The 23,287-nt window shown below is 43.0% G+C and overlaps 1 protein-coding gene across 8 annotated transcripts in view, besides 1 other annotated feature; it reads right to left on the bottom strand.

Annotated features, from left to right (window-relative positions):
- Positions 1 to 23,287, bottom strand: part of STOX2 (storkhead box 2) — a 225,509-nt gene that overhangs the window by 20,760 nt on the left and 181,462 nt on the right. For 3 of the 8 annotated variants that reach the window (NR_132761.1, XM_017008466.2, NM_020225.3), the window contains exon 2: positions 1,294 to 1,446. Coding sequence is in view for 7 of the 8 variants with exons in the window: in NM_020225.3 (NP_064610.1) it covers positions 1,294 to 1,446 (153 nt within the window). In the remaining variant the exon portion in view is untranslated. Of the gene's footprint in view, positions 1 to 1,293; positions 12,767 to 13,953; positions 14,074 to 14,179; positions 14,505 to 14,840; positions 15,113 to 23,287 lie in introns of those variants that run through there. The other 5 variants (XM_011532131.2, XM_047415989.1, XM_047415990.1 and 2 more) reach the window with 5 other exon arrangements.
- Positions 14,048 to 14,834: an enhancer, noted in NCBI's record as "H3K27ac-H3K4me1 hESC enhancer chr4:184909090-184909876 (GRCh37/hg19 assembly coordinates)". NCBI's record gives its function as "activates a minimal SCP1, AML or CMV promoter by ChIP-STARR-seq in naive H9 embryonic stem cells {active_cell/tissue: H9 hESC(naive)}" and the evidence as "EXISTENCE:reporter gene assay evidence [ECO:0000049][PMID:30033119]".

Here is a 23,287-nt window from a genome sequence, read left to right as displayed (position 1 = left end):
CTCCCGTTCTCTTCCCATGTGTGGGGTGCACTTCCCCACACCTTGACTTTGAGTTTAGCAGGTTTGTGTTGGTCACTGCAGTGTTAATGGGCTGGCATGAACAAAGCTTGAAGAGCCTTCGTGCCATGGGCTTGTGCTCTGGTGCCTCTGCCATCCCGCAAGTGAAGGAGATCTCCATTTGCCCCGTTTTCTAAATCGGATGGGTACAGATGGAGCAGAACTACCCTGCTGGGCCCCACCTGGCTCAGCTGACTCCTGGGGAACCCACAGAGGCATGAATGAAATCAACTCTTGTTGCCGTAGGCCTTTGATGTTCTGTAGTTGTTTGTTACCCAGCATTTTTGTAGCAAAAGCTAACTGATACAATTAACAGCTTATATTTACTCAGATCTCTTCTAAGTTGAATGAGAAATATAGCAAACGTTCCCTTTTAATATAATCTCTATTTCAACCTAGAAACAGGCTGAGTCCACACCAAGTTGGCAAACTGGTAGCCCGATAATGTATTTCATTTGACTTGCATGTTGCTGGCACACAGACATTAAAACATATACACACACACAATTGTCAATATTTAAGGAAATGCAGAGATTTCACATAAGACCAAATTTCCAGATTGTCTTGAAACATGAGATTGGCAACTCTGGCAGGATCTCCATTTGGGGGTGGGGTGACAATACACTGGCTCTCTTGAAAGAGGGTCCTGCATTCTGCAGCTTGTCACCCTTCCTAATGCCTTCCAGCACTGAAAGCGTCAAATGCCTCTCACACAGCAGCTGGGCTGTTGCCTCCTTTTTATAACATTTAAGAGAAAAGTAAGTATTTTATTTTTTAAAATGAAATCCTAATTTATCAATATTATTTTCTTAAAACTCATCAAGCCATGATACAAATATGTAAGATATGTTAATTTTTGACATGACCCTTTCTGTAGTTTAACTCCCTAGGACTAAAGTTTTCAGCCGTTGAACCCTCACGTTCATGTATTTAAAGATTAGTTTGCAAAGACTGACTGGAGTCCTGGTCATTCTTGCCAGATTCTTCATGGATTCTGAATTAATTTCTTCCTCTCGGTGCCAATTTAAAAAGTATTACAGCTGAAGCAGTTAAGTTATTTTTTGATGTCATGCAGGTGCCTGAATTTTTAATTACAGAAGTAAGGAAAGCTTCGGGTCAGTTTTGGGGAAGAATGTTTTCCTATTCTCTTTAAACATGGGCAGAACAGTCCACGTGAGTCCTAGAGCGACCACAGCACACCGCCACCTGGAAAGTGCTACGTTCCCGCCTCGTTACCTGGGAAGCACGTGGTCAGGTGCTCCATCAGTGCTTCTTGGGTGACAGGCTTTCTTGCCGAGTTCATTGCTGAGATGGCCAAGCAGAGGATCTCCCCGAGTGGAATAAACTGAGACTGACTGATGGGAGACATACTGATGGGTGATACATCACCTGCAGAAAGACAATTTTCAAGTGAGTGGTTCATTAAAAGACCCGGTCATCTGTCAGACACACGCCTTCACGCGTCCATCTGGCCCTGGTCTGACGAACACAGTCAGCTCCGAACATAGCAGCTGCTTGCCAATTCCACTCTGAACACAGAAGCCACAGCCAATTCCACTCAGGTGGAAAGACTTCCACACGCAGTGGAAGCTCCTACTGCCTCAACAAATAAAACTTCCCTTTAACATCCGAGATCTCATTTAAATAGTCCTAGTACTGAAAGTCTTGCAACAACAGGCTTTTATTTCCGTTTTTATTAACTTGGAGCTGATTTATTTAATAACTGCCATTCATATCCCGACAAATTGCATTTGTGTAACTTGATGATTCATTCATTCACACATTGAACGCGTTTACGTGTCTGCTGGGGGAACGGGAGCTGCAGAGACAGAGTGCGCGCCTCTCCCCAAACATCTCTGCCCTCAGTTTCTATTTAAGTGGAGAAGACAGACAAGTAGATCGAACGAAGTTCGCAATGCTGCGTGGCAGGCACACAAGAGAACAGAACAACACCTGGGTGCTGAGAGTCGAGGAAGGATAACACCTCTGGGAGGCGAGGGTGGGGCTCAGAAGCAGGAATTTCCAAGGTTCCACCAAGGAAGTGTAATCTGAACCCAGTGTTCAAGAGTAGGTGTGTCCCTGCGGGGCTGGGACCTATAAGCAGATGTTTTCTGGGGCACAGAAGCGAAGGGGGACAGGTAGGTAGGGACGACCATGAATAAAGAGCTGAGTGTCCAAGCTCTGCATTCTATGAGGGGTGGTGAGCCATGGAAGGCTGAAGGCAGGTGTGGATTTCAGAAAGATGACTGTGGTGGCCGTGGGGATGATGGCTGGGAGGAGTGGGAGAAGGCAGATTACAATTCCCTCAGAGAATGTGGCCTCCTGCACACTAAAAGGGCCAGTGGAGGCAGGAGAGGCTGAAGACCCTGCATCGGAGGGGTGATGGACGGTGACTCTTGAGATGTCAACCTACAATGCAAATATCTGTCTTCATTTCTCAAGTCTTTATACCACAGTGCAGTCAGTGATTTTCAAGTGATGCTCCAAGGATCCCTAGAATTTCTTGGAATATTTCTGGGATGGAGGTGCCCCCAGTAGAAGCAGAGGCTGGGAGGGCAGGAAAGTTCGCTCCTGACACCTGGGTGCCACCTGTTTTATACCTGGGGTTCTCCAAGGTTGCATTTGAAAAGATGTCCTACACGAGGAGGATGCAAACTATCAACACAGTAGAACATAGAAGGGCTCACAGGGTCTGTTAAGTTTCTAATCTGATTTCCTAAATGTACTTCCATAATCTAGCCTTTTTTGTTTCTGAAGCATGCTTGTAATAAGCTACCATGGTTGACCAAAACCGAGACTCAGGTCGGCCTGTAGCATTAAGCAACACCCTCCCCGACAAGGTGTCTGGCTGCTCTGAGGTGGACCAACCTCCTCACTGTCAGGCACTTAAAGCCATGCCCAGCCACAGTTCCTAGTTTGCAGGAGGAGTGCAGAGTCCCTATGGGGAAAAACTTGCTGCTTTGATGGGCTAGGAGAGAAATGGTTTGCTCGATGAAATCAGGCAGCAGGGCCTGGGACAAAGATCAGCACGTACGGGGAGAGTCCAACAGGTGCCTCGGAGGAAGCAGCAGGACTCCAGTGCCCAAGGCTCAGGCCTCACCCCCTTCCCAAACCCAGCTCAGTTCAACGCCCCCCTTTCCCTGGACCACATGGGGCTCCCATCAGCTCTACTGTAGCTCCACTCTCTGCAAGATGGATATGAGGAGGATAAGACGTTGTCCCAGTGGCCAGAGGGAGACAGGAGTACCCACATCCAGAAAAGGAGGAAGGGAGAAAAATCAGCAGAAGCCAGGAACTGACCTAGCTTAGAAGCCACAAATGTCTGGGGCCTATGGGTCATAGGCATCATAAAGAGACACCCTCAGAAAAATTCTTGTAATATTTTGTGGGGCAGTAGCAGGCGAGACCGAGTGTGAACTTGGGGCCATTTTGGGGGATGTGAGTTTCATTCATTGGCTGGTGAAGCTCAGTTCGTATTGGTAACTCAAAAATGACAGAATGATAGAATGACGTGGGCTGGGACCACCTCAGTGGGTAAGTTTCCAACGGCCTAGAACAATGTATTTAAATCTTAAAGAAAAGATTTGTCATATCCTTTTTTTTCCTACAAAAAAAGCTGGGTTTTTTTGTTTGTTCATTTGTTTTTGTTTTTTTGTTTGTTTGCTTTTTTGAGACAGGGTCTGGCTCTGTGGCTCAGGCTAGAGTGAAATGGCACAATCATAGCTCACTGCAACCTTGAACTCAAGAGATCCTCCTACCTCAGGCTTCCAAATAGCTAGGACTACAGTCCGGCCACCTCTTAAAGCGCTGGAATTACAGGTGTGAGCCACCATGCCCAGCCCAAATGAAGTCTTACTCTAAAACCTAATGTGGGTTGGGCATGGTGGCTCACACCTATAATCCCAACAGTTCTAGAGGTCAAGGCAGGCAGATTGTTTTAGCCCAGGAGTTTGAGACCAGCCTGGGCAACATGATGAGACCCCATCTCTACAAAAAATACAAAAATTAGCCAGGCATGCTGGCACGCGCCTGTGGTCTCAGCTGCTTGGGAGGCTGAGCTGGGAAGATCGCTTGAGCCTGGGAGGTCAAGGCTACGGTGAGCTGAGATTGCGCCACTGCACTCCAGCCTGGGCAACAGAGCGAGACCCTGTCTCTAAATCAATAAACACATAAGAAATGTGTGAAGATTGGCTGAGTGCTGATGCAAGCTGCAGCAGAGGTGGGAGTTGGGAAGTTCACCTGTTTGACTCTGCCCTCCGTACCGCAGGCCCTACAGCTCAGGCACAGACAGTCTGAGACACCGGCCTGTAGTTCCTTCTCTCTCACTCCACCTCCACTGGATAGGACAGGGGCACTGAGGCCGGCTTTCTTACAGAGGTGCTAAGTTAGCCATATGGACCTGAAAGTCACCTGGGATGATTTTTAAAGTCAGATGAAAAGGAAGATGGGATCAGCTGGCAAAGAGGGACAGGATCAATGCAGATTCCAGAACCTCTGGACTTGGGTATCACTTGAGAAGTTAATACCTTCCAACGTGTGCCTATTATATAACTAAGAACATCTCAGAAGATGAAAGATACAAAAATACTAAATATGATCCCCAAAATGCAGGCCGGACTATTTCCAGATTTTTGTATAGGTCATAAGAGGAAACTCGAACTCTCTGTAAAAAAGAAATGACTATTAGCAAAATTAATTAACTGCTTTGGTTTAGGTCATGCTTGTCCTTATGGGTTTAGCTGAAACAATTTGTTTGGTTTCACTGCCATATTCTCAGTTAATTTCTTTTCATTCATTGCAGCCAACTCCAAGAGGCAGCATGCTTTAAGTGTGTCTGAATGGCATTTACTTTGGAAAAGCTCAGTTTCACTATAATAATGAATATGGGCAATAACTTTTAACTCAGAATGTAGAACAAAATGGAATTTGGATGTTCTAAGTAACTGTCTCCACCTCATCTCATTTTTGTGCTGCACTAAGATATATTACTTTCAACTCCTTTCCCATCCCCAATCCCATCAGCAATCCTGTCTACACCCAAATGCTTCCTGGCCTGTCCCCTGGATTCTATCCCTGGAGCTCCCTTAAACTGCCATCATCTCTCACCTGGTCCTTCATAAGAACTTGATGATGTTCAGCCTTCCCTCCTGCCTCCAACACTCCCCTCTCCACAGAGCAGGCAAGGTCCTCTTAGGAAAACAAAAAACACACCACTTCCCTGCATAAAATCCTCCAGGGACTGCCTACTGCACTTAGAAGAGAAGCTGAACTCCTTGGTAGGCCTACACGGGCCCACGTGGCCTGAGCCTGTCCACCCTATGCTAGGACCACTCCCACCTCCATCCTTACTTGCCACTCACGACCTCCTCTGTTCTTTGAACATGTCAGGCATTTCCTCAACTCAGGGCCTTTGTATTTTTTGTGCCCTTGGCCTGGGATGCTCCTTGGGTCGACCTTTCAAGACTGGCTTTTCATGCTTTAGGTCTCAATTCAAATGGCACCTCATCAGAAAGCCCTAACCTGACTGTCTGGTCTACTGCCATTCCATCACAGCCGAGTTTACTGTCTTCTCTCCCTGCATGTGTGCATGTGCGTTTGGTTCACTGGTTTACTGTCTGTCTCACCCACTTGAATGTAAGCTCCATGACAGAAGGCAACGTGAATGCCACATTCCCAGCACCTAGAATGATGCAGTGCTTACCCAACAAATATTTGTTGAATGAATGAATATCCATTTTTAACATGATAATCTAAGGAATTTCTTAGTCATCTTAAAGGACTGTAATTTTATTAATATTTTTGCTAAATAATAGCAAACAAAAAGAGAACAAATAAGTTTACCCATGCAATTTCTAAGACTCCCCCAATTAACTGCATGAGAAATAGGCCTCCAAACACAGCAGTTACTATAGAAAAATAACTTTATAACACAACTATTATATAGCAATAAGAAATTAAAAATTAATAAAAATGAGTAAATTTTTTAAAAGAATAATTATATATTAAGTGAAGTTTAGAACATGCATTTAAGATCTGTATTAAAGGAATCACAGGTATCTCTCAACACAACATAAACATTATTCAAGTTTACCATAATCTTCTGTGGATCTTATATAAACCTGCTTAACGAGCCAACTAGTCATTTTTAAGATATGCTACTAGAAAATTCTTCCAACTACCGGACCACATTTATTTATTCAAAGAAGAAAAAAGGAGAATGTAGGTACTGCTAAAATATTGTTGGTCACGATAATCTACATTATCTACAGAAACTACCATATTTTGCATGAAATGTGGATTATAATTTACTTGTCTATAATTTATAGGATGGATTTTTCCATCGTCAGAATTAGTTCAGAACACATTCATAACGACAACTCATCTTAAAGCACATTGGCACTTTGTCAGCTAAAAAATTCTTTCTAAACTGCTATAATTCTGTCCTATTGTTCTAAAAAAGGAGTAGATAGATTTTAGTTCAGCTTTATTTTCTTACAAACATCCATTTAAGTACAGTCCTCAGAGGACTTTTGTCAAATCTAGGCTATTTCAGATAAAACCAAACTCAGTGCCTTGGACAGAGGAAGCATTCCATAGATTTTTAAGCGAGCTTAAAATGTGAAAAGACATGAAAATATTACAATTGTAAGTAAACTTCTGTTTTAAGAGTATTTAACATTTAAAATGCATGAGTGAAAATGTGGACACTGCTTTCATGTGAGGTCATTGTCGGCTGACTGGCATGAAGAGAAAGAGTAGCCGGGTGGATGATGAGGGGCATGGAAGACGGACCCCCTCCAGGAGAGGCGGAACAGCCCAGCCAGCACGGGGGTGCAGCATGCTGAGCCCAGGCAGCCCGGGGAGCTGAGACTGGGGAGCTGCGGCAGGTTCAGGCTCCCCTGGGGCAGGCTGGTGGTGAGATACAGAGAAAAAAGGGGCCAGATCCTGGTTGACAAGAAGGCTTAGATCTTATTCTTGACGGTGACGAGGCACTGCCCCTGTTTTCATACAGACAAATCACATGATATGCTTGCATGAGAAAATCACTCTTGTGCAACTCTGGAGAAAGAGCTGGTGATTCCTAAAATCACTCGCACAACGGACAACAGGCAGATGTCCTGCAGACGCCAACCTGCTCTTGGATTGTCTACAGCTAGTCACCCCTACCTCAGGAAATAGCTTTATCAAGCGCATCCATTTTCACTATTTAAATCCCTCTATCTATTTTCCCCTTCCAACTTCTGGCCCATTACTTTAGTTGGAGTTATTTTAAAAAAAACTCTCTCTCACATAATTCATCCTTTCAAGAAATATCTGAATGCCTATTTTACATCAAATACCTTTAAGCACTCAAGTTCCAAAACTGTTCTTATCTCGGTTCTATTTGTGCAAAAAAAAAAAAAAAAAAAAAAAAAAAAAAAAGACTAAAATAAAGCCCTGTCCTTTATAAGTGGCATTTTCACTTTTTGCAGTCATTAATTGAGGTTCCAGGAACTTCTCAGCCTGTGCACACGCAGGAGACCAGCACCGCTCCTGGGATATGACTTTCACAACAGCTTACACCTGCTCCTTCCTGGGTGACATCCGTAGCTTTCCAAAAGATACCTGCTACAAAAGCCAACATAAAACTATGTCATTTCATCTTAAAGTACCCATCCTCATACAACTGTGTAAGAAAAGGAAAGCCAGAATTTCCCCAGGCAAACTGCATCACAGTAAACAGCCTGGAAAGTACCAGCCTCCATCCTCTATCTTAGCTTTCTTTAAATAATTTTTTTTTCAAGCACCAACATTCCATATGAATTATCCTGTTTTCCTTTTAAGGTACTGTTTTTCATTGCAAGTGTTAATGTAATCTATTCTCTGGGTTGAAGAGTTATCTTTGACATTAATGAAATTCTTGTACCAAAACAACCCACTTAAGAATGTGGTTCTGAAACTGTACTAGTTTATAATTGAGAAATTCCCAATATAAAAAAAGCATTCAAGAGATATTTTGATAAGTACCCAGTCTCTTAAAACAAAATACAATTATCCGCTCTGCGCCCGTTTCCTCATCTGTAAAATGAGAGTTTGGATGAAATGATTTCAAAGATTCCTTCAGCCTCCTAAATCCTGTGATCCTATATGAATGCAGCAGAATTCTGGCATAAAAGCATCATATGGCACGGGTGTCTAGCTCTGCTTCCATCACGCTGGGGACACTATTTTAACACTCATCTGAACTGAAAAAGTTGGGCTTTAATTTTCAAAGAAATGGCTCCATATACTGGCTAATAATTTTTTCTTCCCTTACAATAAAGGCTTCATCATTTTCTCTTTCTAAATTCAAAGTCTTGCTCAGCTTTGTTCCTCAGGACTAATGTGTGCCCCTTTTGTTCTCTGCACCGCCAAAATTAACACGCAAGTTAAAATCACGGATGCCATAAAATTACCACAAGTAGTAGATACCGTGATTCCTCATAAAAATAGTCAAACATGTCTATAAAATGCACTATGGGCATGGGGACAACACAACTCTATTCCTCTCCGCACACTCTTCAGAAAACGATTCTTTCGCCAAGTTTTATCTTAAATGCCCTTGGGCTTGGGGAAATCACCCGCTTTCTGGGGTTACAGTCAAGTGAACAACTTCTCGGATGCAGCGCCTCAGACAAATCTTGTGTTTTACAATTTAATTCAATTTATTAACCCCAATTTTATGTATTAATGCTGTTTGGCTCTTTTAACAGAAGGCCTACTACAGTATTTTTTAAAAAGCTGTTCTAAAAAAACCCACATACTTCTTTCCTATGCGCTCTCTTGAAGACCACAGCACCCATCTGGTGGGGGCAGAGCAGACGGCTCCCATTACCTCACATGCTCCTGCGTTTTAAGCAGCTTTCCTTTGAAACCAGATGACTATTCTTGACTTTCGAATGTTTGTATTTGACATTCAGAAGAAAACTGGCAATGAAAAGGCACTTTTACTAGTTTACTGTAGGTTTGTTTCAAATGCCACTGATTTCAAAAGTTGAAGGCTGAGCCCGATGGCAATAGTCAACTGAAGGAAACAGCATAAAAAAGGAATTTTAGAATATTTAGAGATTCTATAACAACTTTAAAAATGTTTCCTAATGCTTTACTTCAACACTTAATGGGTATCTTAAAGCAGGTCCAATTCCTAAGCTATTATTTGAGTAAATCATTTTAATCAAGAGAGCGTAAACAGAAGACACTCATTAATCATACTGAAATACTGGTGTCCATTAGCTATTACTTACTAAGAAACTTCTAATGGGAATAAAGTTAAACGAGAGTAACACGGTGGCCAAGGGCACCCAAAAGAATGAGTTAACATCCCCCACGTCACCCGGGCCTTTGTGCTGACCAGTCTGTCTAATGCCACTATGTGAAGTAACGAATTAATTGGCTCATTGGTCTACAGAAGAAGCTCATGATCCTCCCAGTCCGCAACCTTTCGTTAGTCACATTAGCTATTGCTCTTGTTACTGAGATTTGACTACAGGTAAAAGCTTATCACAGAATAAATAGAGACAGATAAGGCAGAAAGGGTAGAGCATCGGGCAGAAAGGGGCCATCCTCGTGGGCAGGGGTGGGTGAGAGCGCCCTGGCCAAGAGCCACCTTCCCCACCGCCAGAGGTGATTCCTGACGTCTCTGATAGGAACAACTAACACTTCTGTTGGACCATTTAGCTATTTGCAATAGATGCATAGCAGAAAAGGTAGGATGGAATATGAGCCCTGGGACCAATCAGGTTAATTTCGTAATTAACGCCTTTGCTAAGGCTCCACACTATAACCCATCAGCTAGGTCCAGGGTGGTACGTGCTAGGCACATGGAATAAAACCTAGCCGAATGCTTTCACACGGCAGGTCCTCAAATGCTTGTAGAATCAAAAGGTCCTACGTACATAAACAAGAAGAGGCAAGGCCCTGCTACCTTACAAGATGTTTTCCAACACCAGCTGCCACTTGTGCTCCAGTCCTTCAACCAGAATGAAGGTAAAGCCACTTACCAACAAGGATAAAGTTATGATGAAATACCAGTCCTAGATGATAACAATTAGTAAGATCTCCCAGATGTCCTGAAATTCTGTAAAGCACCTGACCAACAAGAGCACCTGAGGAACATGACGTCTTCCTTTTCCTTAAGTGCATCACATAAGAAAGAACATAAATTCCTATTTTAAGCCACCCTGTACTTCTCCTTCATGTTCATTCTGCAGCATAACCTGGCCTAACACTAGACATTAGATGCTCCAGTTTCCACTGATGATATTTCCCAACTTCAGCTTAATAAATCATCTAACAACTCTAGGTCACACATTCACTTTCCCTCTTTTTAAGTTGGAATCACCAGAGCTATTTCTCAGTCTTTGTATTCTCTGCTTCATCAGTTTAGGGATGACAACTGTAGTGGGACTGATTTCTGTAAAATACAATTGTAATAGGACAGGAAGGCCTAATTAAATAAACTACAAATATGGACAGGTTGACAGTTCCCAAATTACAACAAAATTGTACCGATTGACTGCTACCAACCAACCCCCCTAAAACCGAACACGCTTCTACCCCTTCCAACTGCCATGGAGGTCATTATGAAAGGACTATGTCAGAATTCAGAGGCATGAAAGAAAGGATAGGGGATCAGATCAGATACACAGAGGAAACGTCTAAGTCGCTGTACAATTAAGTAACTTTTCTCTCTTCAATTCAGCATTACAAGATGGTGTTAAAAGCCATGGGCTTTGTAGTCAAAACTTTAGGTTCAGAGCCCAGTTCTGCTCCTCACTGGTTGTGTGATTTGGGGCAAATTATTTAATTTTTTGAGTTTCAATTTTTTCTTTTGTGAAGTATACATAATGATGTTTACCTTGTAGACTCACTGAGGGGATTAAATGAGATAATGGATGTTGAGTGCTTACCCTGTCCCTGAGACCTAATACATGTTTAATAAATAGTAGCTAGTATTAAAAATATCTTCCCTGGCCGGGCGCGGTGGCTCATGCTTGTAATCCCAGCACTTTGGGAGGTCGAGGTGGGTGGATCAGGTCAGGAGTTCAAGACCAGCCTGGCCAACATGGAGAAACCCCATCACTACGAAAAACACAAAAAATTAGCCAGGCGTGGTGGCAGATGCCTGTAATCCCAGCTACTCGGGTGGCTGAGGCGGGAGAATCACTTGAACCCAGGAGGCGGAGGTTGCAGTGAGCCAAGACCGTGCCATTGCACTCCAGCCTGGGAAACAAGGAAAGACTCCGTCAAAAAAAAAAAAAAATTCTTCCTCAAGCCCATCTAGATTTATCCAATTTACTCATTTACAGTGTTTGAATTTCTACCAATGGAAAATTTGTTTGTACCTAAAAATAAGCCTTTTTAAAAAACTAAAATATCTTTGGGAAGGCTAAGAGTGCAGAGGTCTTCCTTATACTAGTATGAAGTAGTTTAATAAGATTACTTTAATCAGATATATAGAACACATAGCATTTGGGATGCATCACCAGGCTGGGAGTGCAAACATGCATTACACTAGGGACTTTGGAGAGAAAAAGGCACTAGGAGATGGGAAATAGTGTGGATAGAGAATTACAAGGATATCAAAGGATGTTGACCTATTTCAAAACTTAGGTTGGGCCAATCCATTACCTAAGAAAGGGAAAGGAAACTCAGGACTTAAATAAGTACTCTTAGTATTAAAAATCAGTGACACCAGGAGTTAAATAATTTCTGATATGATCCGAATTATTAGTAACCATTCTGGCTCTTTCTTCTAAGGAAAATGTCCTGTAGGAGTCAAAAAAGTGACTTTCACCTAAACTTCCCGAATTCGGCATACTCCTCATAACTTAAGGATGGCTTGTCCAATATAATTCAAGTAAACCGTGATCAATGTCCACATGCTCATTTGTCCTTTACGGCAACAGTTCTTTACAAGCAGGGTAAGGCAGCTTCCTGGCTGTGACACTGTCTCAGGGTAAGAACCATCACAACTTCTAGAGTGGCATGCATGACTCCTGAGGTCCACCTTAGCCTGAATATACCCTGTGAAGATTCTTAAAATTAGCAAAACCAGATCATTCTAACTCTCTATGACCAAAAAAAAAAAAAAAAAAAAAAAAAAAAAAAAAAAAATCCTGCTTTTTAAACTGCCCCTCTTCCTATTCAACTATTTATTGAAAGGGTTCCATGTGTAGGGAACTGCTAGGAGATGTAGACAGCAGAAAAAAGCATAAATCTTGATCTCTGCCTTCAATGAGATTACAATTTAGGTGGGAATATAAGATATACATGTGTGAAAATATAAAGCATCATGAAATATACACATTGCTGTTCAAAACACCCTTAGAAGAGCTATAGCAAGAAAACACATGAATGAATAGAAACTTAACTCTATAATGGGAGTTTCAAGGATTTAGAAATGACCTCCTGTTGGGGTGATTAGGGAGAACTTTCCAGGGGACAGAGATTTGGAATAGGTCCTTAAGGATGGGTAGAATTGATGGGTGTGAGGACATGATGGAACTGTATTTGCAACATACCATGCTTGTGTTTTTTCTGACCAAACATCCTTTAAACCTGACTCAGCATCCTCAACGTTGCTCTGAAGATGCAAACTGCTATGCAGAAAGAAGAGACCTCTGACAGTGGAGAAAGGAAACATGCTCTCTTTTCTTCTGTGACAGGGTGAGCTATGAGATGGATGTGACTGCGAAGAGAAAGAAGATGTTCAAGGGGTCTTGAACATCTGCCTTTAAACATGTTCTAAAAATTCTTACCTATTACATACGGGATTCAACACTCTCAGAAATATCTGTAACAGTGCTGAAACCATCCATGTGATGAGGGGGTAAAGCCATGCTTTCAGATGTGCCAAGTCTCACTTTGGAAATGAGGCATGTAATGTACTTTTGAGGACCAAAATTTACCATTTCGTTGTCATGTTTTTTTAAAAAGCTTTCGTGTGAAAAGCCCATGGATGTTGTAAGAAAACAGCTCTGTCATAATCTGAATCCTAAAGCAGACTATGATGAAATATGCTTACTTCCTTAGCAGTTAACAGCAGCCTCAATATGATGTTAGTCTTGGAAACAGTCCCTGGGCACATAAATCAGGCTTTCTTGGATTTTAGTGCATTGCATGTAGGTTAACAGGCCAAACAGTATGCAAAATTTCGGGCACTATATATTAATTGGTAAGAAAAAATGTCGAGGCCGGGCACAGTGGCTCACGCCTGTAATCCCAGCACTTTGGGAGGCCAAGGCAGGCAGGTCAACAGAGGTCAGAAGTTCAAGACCAGCCTAACCAATGTGGAGAAACCCCGTCCCTACTAAAAATACAAAATTAGCCAGGCGTGGTGGCACGTGCCTGTAATCCCAGCTACTCAAGAGGCTGAGGCAGAAGAATCGCTTGAACCCGGGAAGCGGAGGTTGCAGTGAGCTGAGATCACACCATTGCACTCCAGCCTGGGCAACAAGAGCAAAACTCTGTCTCAAAAAACCAAACCAAACCAAACAAACAAAAAAAAAAAAAAAAAAAAAAAACCAGAAAAAATGTCAAATACTATTTACTGAATGCCTCCCTCAGAGCAGCGAGCGAGATAGATATACAGCTGAGGGAAATCTGGGGCAGTCTGATTATTTCCTATTGGCAAATCCTGCTGCTGTGGACTTCTCGGTCCCCGTGAGCAGCTCTGGGATGACCTGGGCTGGTGAGGTCGTGTGTGGTGGGCAGCCCACAGTGGGAGGACCTGGACTGCCTAAGATTGAGGCTGCGGGAGGAGCGGAACAGCAAGACTTCTCAGAGGACCGTGCACCCTCTTCACGGGTGGTGCTGACATTTCACCATATTCCTTTGCACACAACAACTGTTGAAATAAAAGCAGGGGAAACCTACCTGGCCCTTTCTGGACTGGCTCCATCCCCCAGGTAGCACTGACGCTAAAGCCTGGTGCATGCTAGGGAGCTGCATCCAAGCACAAGAAGGAGCCAGTAACAGAAACGGACGTCCTAGAATCTGGAATAAGAAGAAAGAGTAAAGTTTCAAGTCATAGTATCCTAAATGAGCATTTCAGATTGGCTACTGAGGGCCCGTGGAACACAAGAGGAATCTGGTACTTTACCTTCGTAGATCTACTTTTTAAAAATGAGTTCCAGAACTCTCAGCTCTTCTTACAATTCAGGGCTTGAGATACTGGTACAAGTTCAGTTCAAAAGCTGGCAAAAGGCACCTTAAAAAGGCTCTGTGAATGTACTTTGCTGGTAACGTTTTGAGGAGGGAAAAAAAAAGGAATCCTCTTTACCATTCTTTTATCCTATTTGCATGGAACAGCTGGAATCCTGTTCCATGCCTATCCCGTACATCACAGCCACTTGCTGAGCCAACATCCCACTGCAGTGCCTCGGAATCTGCAGTGTCACTCCTCTTCTGCTTGTTCTCTGCAAAGTGAAGTCACAGGGACGGATCAGCCAACCTGACTTCTCACTGCCCTGCCCAGAATCCTTTGTGAACTGAAATGAGTCATCGCTCCAAGAAAAGCTACAGCCTCTGTTTGTCTGTGCAGGCTCCTTTGTCTGTGCAGTGCGGAGACGCGAGGTCAGAATGTACCCCAGGCGCGGGGTGGCGAGGGGCACACTCTCCTCTCCAAGGGGCCCAGGTCCCCTCCCATGCATTAGCACCAACTCATATTTTTTTAATCATGAAAAAGGTAAAAAGGGCACATACCTCCAGATGCTTGAAGAGAGAACACACACATTAAAATTGATCTGGCGTCATATACTCACCAGTCCGTAATTAGAGACCTGCCACATTTTCCTATGTTGTGTTAAGGCTGGCTTTGCATGGTGACGAAGGACGCGTCTCCCTCCTGTGTGTAACAGGCGGTTCTACTGTACACTGTATCAAAGTTTAGCTGCAGTGAGCTATTTGTCATAAATTCCAGTTGCCGTGCAAGTCTTTGCAAGCCTGGGTCTCGTCATTCCCGACACACAGCCGTCAGGCTCGCAGCCCGGGCAGCGGTGGAGCTCACCCAGCACCAGCCAGTGCGGCTTCTGCCGCTGCGAGGAGGGCGGCGTGGGGAATGAGGTCACTATGTCAGGAGCTCGCTCTCAGCAGGAGCCTCTCCTGCGCTTACAACACAACTCCAATCGCACCGAGAAGTGGGATTCATGGGATTTGGGGGGTGGCTGGTTCCTCCCCTGTTTCTTAAAAATGTCTACGGCTAAGATCAGCAAGGTGAAAATGAATCACGTATCTGCATAAAAATGTCCTTTTCATTGCACTACGGGTGCCACGCTCATTGTGAACCCCAGGCTGAATCACTCACGTGTACACCTGCGGACATGCATTTACACACCGACACACACACACACACAGAGGAATTTATGCCAGCAGAGAAAACATGTAGTCTTTATTTAGAGTGCAAGAAGCAACACGTAAACATCTCAGGAGGAAGACGGGGGCGGCAGTTGAGAGAGAGAACACAATGGAAGGAGTAGAGCAGCCACATAAAACCCGAGAAAAATGGAGTCAGAGAGGCCAAGGAAACGAATCTCACGGCAGTGGTACTGCCGAACTCTCCCAAATCCAATAACGCCAAAACAGGCACCGCTCGCTGCCTCCGCTCAGGATCCGGATAACCGAAAAATTATCTCATTCTCAGAAACCCATAGAGGTGGGTGGCAGACGATTCTGCAGCAAATTCTCCCACATCCTCATGAACCCAGCAGCTCAGCTACCAGGGGCACAAAATGTGGGGTGCCAGCAAAGATGGGAAATGCACTGAAGCTCTTCATAAGGCGCCCCCGAAACTCAGAGTTACAGGGGTCCCCACGTGGGTCTCCCGGCTAAAATCCTGAAAGCGTCCTATCCTCTCCTGACTCCGGTGATTCAGCCTGTCCTCCAGAACCTCCCCCAACAGAGCTCAGGCTCTGGCAAAGGCCCCCCTGTGAGTTGAGTTCAAATCAGCGTCTCTTGTCACCCCTGCACAGTGACATCCATTCTGTCCTCGGGAGGCTACAAAACGTATAACCCGCTTCTGCGCCATCACCCATCCGATAGCTACAAACACTAACCAGGTCCCTGTGCCCAGATCAGCTCTTCTCTAGCTGCCTAGAGTCTGGGACACTCAGCAGGCATGCAGACTATATATTCATCTACTGATCCATTGAGATGCTTGCTTTGAATGTTATTAAATAAAACGTCTTCCATGCCCTCAACCACCTAACGCTTTTCACATCCTCTGCCCTCCTGGGGTCCCCCCTTTGCTCTGGTCTGGCGTATCCATTTCCCTCTGACGACGTGGCATCCTCCTGCTGAGTCCTCCCCGTGGCACTGTCTCCTCCCTGTCCTGGACTATCTGTCACCCTGTGACCCCCTTGAGAATGTGTTCCACACCAACTGCTACTGATGCACTTTTTAACAGCCTCATCAATTTTACCTTGTATGCTTGATCAGAAGCATATAAGGACCTAATAGGCCATATACAGATGAAAACATACATGTTTGGATATTAGAAATTATGACTACATTTTTATTTATACATTCTCATCCCTTTTCTTCAAGTATTTGTTTTTTTTTTCTTTCTCCACATACTTAACCAAATACGGTCTTGATTTTCCCTTCTAGGGTATGATTTTCTCTCCTCGTTGATAAGCCACTAGCTTCTCATGCATGCCACAGACTGAGCCTAGGGCCCAGCACCAGCGCCTCCAAACAAAGCCACTCGCCTTTCATCAAACCTCTTTAAGTCTGGCTGTGTTGTTGGATATAAATCCACCCAAACCCATGTAATCCAGCCCATTCCTGTCGGGCGTGGTCTGATCACTGTAAGGTCAGACAGGGTGCCTAATAAGCACACGCACCTTAAGAATGCAATGATGGAAGCATATAACAAATGTATTACAAATTCATATCTAAACAGACATATCTGTAGTCCTGGCAGTGTAAGAGCCTTCTGGGAAGCCCTGGGTCACTGTACCACCTCCTGACAGTTAAAGACACAAGTTTCTTCTATGATCTATGAAAGGTTAAATATGTGGAGAAAGAAAAAAAATCCAAATACTCGAAGGGATGAGAATGTACAAATAAAAATGTAGTCATAATTTCTAATATCCAAGCATGCATGTTTTCATCTATATATGGGCCTAGTATGTCTGTACTTAGAAACTCACATCATCTTCACAAGGACTCTGAAAGTTAAGTACTGGTGTGAGCCCCACTTAAAGAGGGGAACTCTCTTCCTGAAGCTCACAGAGCTGGTGAACGGCAGAGATGGGATTTCAACCCAAGGCAGCTGGCTCTCGAGTCTGTTCTTTCAGCCACTGAAAGTCAATTTTACCTTTTACACGTTTATGTATGCTGTTCTACAGACTTCCTACATGAATCATCTTCAACAACCATTGCTGTTGAAAGTCTGTTCTTTCAACAACACGTGTTACCTCTTGATAATTAAAATAAAAAAGCCACTGTAAACAAAAAAATGTCAAAACCTATATGTCAATTTTTAAATTTAGATTGAACACAATCTGCTTACTTGGCACATGGACCAATGAGGTCAAGGTCACAAGTGGGGTCTCCCGTAGAAGTTGCTTCTGCTGGGGTCTATGACCCCTAACGACTGCCCCTGAGTAGACTTTTATTGAAGGACCATGGAAAAGAATATACACGGTCAGGCAAAACCACCACAAGCTCATCTTGCTGCCCTACCGAGAGTACGGTGGGTTTCATAATGGACACCATTGGCCTCCACTGAGAAACAAAGACAAGAACGGTCTGCTGATGCTTTAAATCTCGGCGTCTGATGGCAAGATGAGCTCAAGAATCACATGCAGCCATCATTAGCAGTCCTCCTCCTGGCCCCGTGCCTCTTACATCTTTGGATAACAGCTTCGGTGTTACAGTAAAGCTTTACGAACATCACACAGAGGACCGCAGAGGTGATTTGCTCAGTTGATGAAGTGTGGGCAGAGGCTGTGCTTGGCACTCGCCTGCGTCCTTGGCAGCAGATTAAATAGCAGCGTCACATAGGGACACGGGGAGGATCTTAATAAACGCTTGATGGCTAATGGTCTCGCATGCTCTTAGAGCTGCTCCACTTGAAAAAGCAGACAGCAATAAATACCATTAAATCAATTAAAAATATTTATCAGGTGCCTAACTGCAAAGTCCTATGGTCAGTTCAGGAATTTAAATTTTAATCTTTAAGGTTGTGTACATATGGAGTATACAAACCTTGGTGCACACTCTCTCATGGACAAATGACATGGTGTCTGCCCTCAAGAAGCTTCAAATGTACTTGAGGAGGTAAGATACTCACATATAAAAAGTGCAAAAATACAAGGCAGTGTATTTCAAAGGGGAGGAACAGGTAACCAGTGCCCCCAAGAATTTTGAAGAAAAGAACCGGGGTCGAAACAGTCAGCAATGGCTTCCACGGAAAGGCCAACTTGTTCTAGAATCTGGACAGGTGAAAGAAAAGAGAAAGCACAGCCCATATGTCATAACATAAGCTCCATGAGCAGGGATACTTTTTGCATGTTTTGTGTTTACAGGTATATCCCTGAAAGTGGCTAGCCAACAGCAGACCCTAAATCTATGCTGAAGGAAGGAGAGGACTGACCTGCAGGGAGGAAGCATGGACAAGGTGTGGAGGTGTGGATGGGAGGGAGGTGGGGATCATAAGGCAGGCAGGCCTGCCTGGGGCTGAGGGTTCATTACTGGGAAGTAGAGGAAGAGAAGGCAAGAGGGGTGGCCCAAGGTCAGATTCAGAACATGGCGCACGGTGGCTCATGCCTGTAATCCCAGCACTTTGGGAGGCAGGAATATCACTTGAGGGCAGGAGTTCAAGGCTGCAGTGAGCTATGATTGCACCACTGCACTTCAGCCTGGGAAAGAGAGCAAGATCCTTCTCTAAAAATTAATCAATTAAAAAAAATTTAAAGAACAGTCTTTAATGGATAGGAAAATGGCCCACTTTATATTTGCAATGAGTTTCACTCAGCATTTGCTAGATGGCCCTTAGTAAGTCTCCTCCCAAAGAAGCCTGACACCTCCATTCTCCAAAAACATTTATAAGCTCATGGCAACTCCCAGGAGGGAAGGGATGCTGACAATATGGTCAGACGCGGCTTCCCCCAGGGACTTCTTGGACTCCTATCACAACTCAGAAGTCTGCGGTGTCAAGATTCTCTTCCTTTTTCAAGACTGCACCAGTCGGGGAGAAAACAATCCTAGTCTGTGACAATATTCCACTAAACCTCCTTTCGACTCAAAACACACTTATAAAACACAGCACGTGAGATCCTAGCATGTGGCTGAGGTCACAGTAACGATGAATGAGTACCGCTCCTATATTCATTGTTCAACATCAGCATCTATGTCATTCAAGGCAAAGAGGGAAAGAGGACCAGGAGAGCAAAGAAAGATGGTTATTTCTGATATGAGAAAAGCGCCATCAAGGAAGCATGGAGGGAACTGAGAGGTGCTTCAGGAAGGAAGAGGCACTGAGGCAGCCACACAGGATGGGCGAGTAAAGGGGTGGGGAGAGGCAAGATGAGAGTGTCTTTCCAGGCAGCAAGGCAGTATGAACAGAGACGATGTGGTTAGACAGTCTAAGATGTTTTGGAGAATGGCTGGTGGTAGATTCAGCATGGCTGGGTTGGAGGGATCTATGAAGGAGATTGGTAGCAACAAGGCCAAAGAGTCAGTCAGGCTGGGATAAAGATAACATTAAATACCTGGAGAATGGCATTAAAGGTTTCTACAGGGGAGATGTTCCTCATGCTGAATGTTTAGGTTATGCAGGCAACAGGGTATAGGATGCATCCAAAGGAAAAGATAATTACTGAGGCAAGGTAAAAGCCTACTGTGAGAGAGTGAACAAAATGTAAAGAGTGCTTAACCAGGGAACAGAGAGAAGCAGAGAGACGTGAGATAACTTTTCTGTTTCACAAAAGTACTATCCAACATTTCCAACATGAAATACTGCAATGCTATCAGAAATGCATGAGTTTCACAACGCACCTAACACTACCTCCCCAGAATCTATCGAAAAGACTATCTGTGCTATAGCAGTAGCCTGACATTTGGAGTAGTGCCCAGGGTAGAATACTAGCACAAACTGAGAAATAAAGGGAAGAGGAGAAATTCTCTAAACAAAAACCCTGGGCACCAATAACAGATTATACTTTCTTAGTTGCATAAAATTGATTTTTTTAAAAAAAGACACAAATTAAAAACTCAACAAAAGCAGTTTGGAAAACAGAAAGTTCCTACATTTTTAGGGCCTTTATAGCCCAGGATTGACTAAGTGGTGGAAGAAACCATTTCAATTAAATTGGGTAAGATTTCCTTGCACTGTATATGTAAGGAAACGAAATACTTTTAAAAAATACACTTGGTGTTCTTACAAGTATTAGAGAGCAACACTATGAACATGAAGTGAAGAACATGGCTATTCTGTTACTTAAATTCTCAAAAGTCAATTCTCATAGGATTGGGAATACTGAATAAGTGCAGGTAAGAGCTGGAGGAGACACAGAAAAACATCTAGTACATCATCACTTAATCGTATATAATCCTAGAGCCCAAAGTGGGAAGGTGACTTGCCCAGGTTGCAAAGATTTACTAGCAAAACCAGAACTAGCACTCAGGTCCCCTGATTCTCAGTGCAGGTGTCCCTCCATTACTCCACAACACCTTGTAAAATATATCGAAAGAAAAGTCAACTGTAAGGCTTTTCCAGATGCACTTTGCGTTTTGTTGTTTTGTTTTGTTTGAGACAGAGTCTCACTCTGTTGCCCAGGCTGGGGTGCACTGGTGCAATCTTGGCTCACTGCACCCTCTCTACCTCCTGGGTTCGAGTGATTCCCCTGCCTCGGCCTCCCAAAGTGCTGCGATTACAGACGTCAGCCACTGCGCCCAGCCGCAGGTGCACTTTGGATAAAAAATTACAAATGAAGTATGCAGATATCTAATTTTTTCCATACCACATTGTGGTATAAACTATTTTTCTGCCCTAAGTTGTTCTAATCAATATCTAAAGAAGACACGTAAGGAAAAGATGAAAGTAAAACGAGGAAAAACTGAGGAGCTTATGATTTTTCAGTTAAAAAGCCAGATTCTAAATTTGTTGTTTTAACATTAAACAATAAGAAAACGATGAGACAGCACAGAAAAACGAAGTGTTGCCCTTCTCCATTACAATTTTATTACACAGCATTTGGATTTACAGACTATTTATTTCCAACCGACTGGGTTAAAACATGCCTGAGTGTATCTCAGACGTTTCTATCTCGTATCTAGTATTTAAACTGCAGAGAATAATGATGGAGGCCCACAGAAGCCCCCAATATGCAGAGGAAAAACAATTAGATTCTACTGTGAAGACGCCCTGAAATTCATACAGTCTATGCATTCTACTCTGTAATAGAACCCTGATTGTCCTAATAACAAAAGTTTAAAACTTTGTTTACAATGAACACCATTCAATATTACTTTCCCAAATTTACAAGTGAACTGACCCTTTAGGGAGACCATCCACATTCATCTTGAGGATGTATAAACCTGCCAGTGTATGGCCCCAATCCCTTGGGACAAATATGCCCCCAATTTGGGAAACAACAACTACATCTAAAAATACGCCCTAAAAATGGTATTTCCCAATTAGTTTTCAAAACTATCATCAGTATTTCTGTTGCTTTAAACATATACTGCTATTGAGTCCTAGAGCTCTTTTAGCTGGAATTAGTTATAAGGTCAAAGAGCTGAGAAACTGAGTGACTTTGTCCCTGGCTTATTTAATTAGAACTGAGTTATCCTCTCTGTGGGTTGCATTCCTTCCCTGCAAGATGGAATTGGGAAAAAAATATGAAGGTGGCAAAGACTGCCATATTTTTACAAAGCAGACATAGCAATAGAATCAACCTCTGACCTCAAGGTGCTTCCAATTAACTGAGGAATGAAAAGTAAACATACATGAAAAGAAAGTATCACCATACTTCTAAAAAAAAAAAACTATGAATAAGAAGGAAAAAAAATTCGCTCCAAACTAAGTCCAGACGGAGTGTAAAGTAAAGAAATACTGGCCAAACATTCTCATCACAAAGCTGAACTCAGCATGACCAGGCTGAATTTGTACTTCTCACAGTCCCCAGTTGAACCAGTTGGAAGGGGCACACCACAATGGAACACCCAGTTCAGGGAGGTTTGCAGGGACCTTCCAAGGGCTGCTTTCCCGACACCTCCGTATCCGGGGACAGACTCCTAATGTCCACCTCTATCCCTACTGACAAGAATGACAACAGTATCCGGACTGTTGTGTTCGCCTGGTGAAAGTATAGTTATTTTCAGCACGCAAAAACAATCCAATATTCGCTGGCTTAAAAGTAAACATTATTTGGGCTTTGCTCTCCTCTACACCTTTCGTATCACAGCCATAAACTTCTACTCTCCTACTAACATCTTTAATGTACATTAGCCTCATCCTCAGTATCACCTCCCTATATCACCTCATGGAAGTTGGATCATGCATTTTTGTTTATAAAGCTAGAAAATGTCATAAAATCCTGATGTAAAAAAGTAAAAACTAGTCATAATTTCTTTTATCTCTCTGAATGAATAAAAATAACATAATTTGTTTTCTAAGATCACAGTGATTATACAATTATCTATATTTGTGCTGTCAAATAGAGTAGCTACTAGGCATGTGTGGCTATTTAATTATAAGTTAATCTAAATTAAATAAAATTAAAATATTAGTTCCTCAGGAATAATACTGGCCAAACATTCTCATCACAAAGGTGAACTCGGCATGACCGGGCCTAAAATATTAGTTCCCGAGGAACTAACATAAGACCTGAAATATAAGACCTAACAATATATTTAGAATCTGGATTTTTAACTAAAAAATCATAAGCTCTCAGTTTTTCTCCTTTTACTTTCATCTTTTCCTTCCTTGTCTTCTTAGGACATTGATTAGAAGAACTTAGGGCAGAAAAAGTTTATGTCATAGTGTCGTATGGAACTTTCTGAGGAACTAATATTTAATTTTATTTAATTTAAATTAACTGAAAATTAGGAACTAATACTGTTAGTTCCTAATAACATTTAAAATAATAATAAAATATTATTTCAAGTGCTCAATAGCTACATGTAGCTAGTATTTACAATGCTGGACAGAGCAGATACAGAACATTTTCATCATCTCAGAAAATTATACTGGACAGTACTG

This window comes from Homo sapiens, chromosome 4 (assembly GCF_000001405.40).
Source record: "Homo sapiens chromosome 4, GRCh38.p14 Primary Assembly".
Lineage (NCBI taxonomy): Eukaryota > Metazoa > Chordata > Mammalia > Primates > Hominidae > Homo > Homo sapiens.
This window is presented reverse-complemented; position numbering and strand designations above follow the sequence as displayed.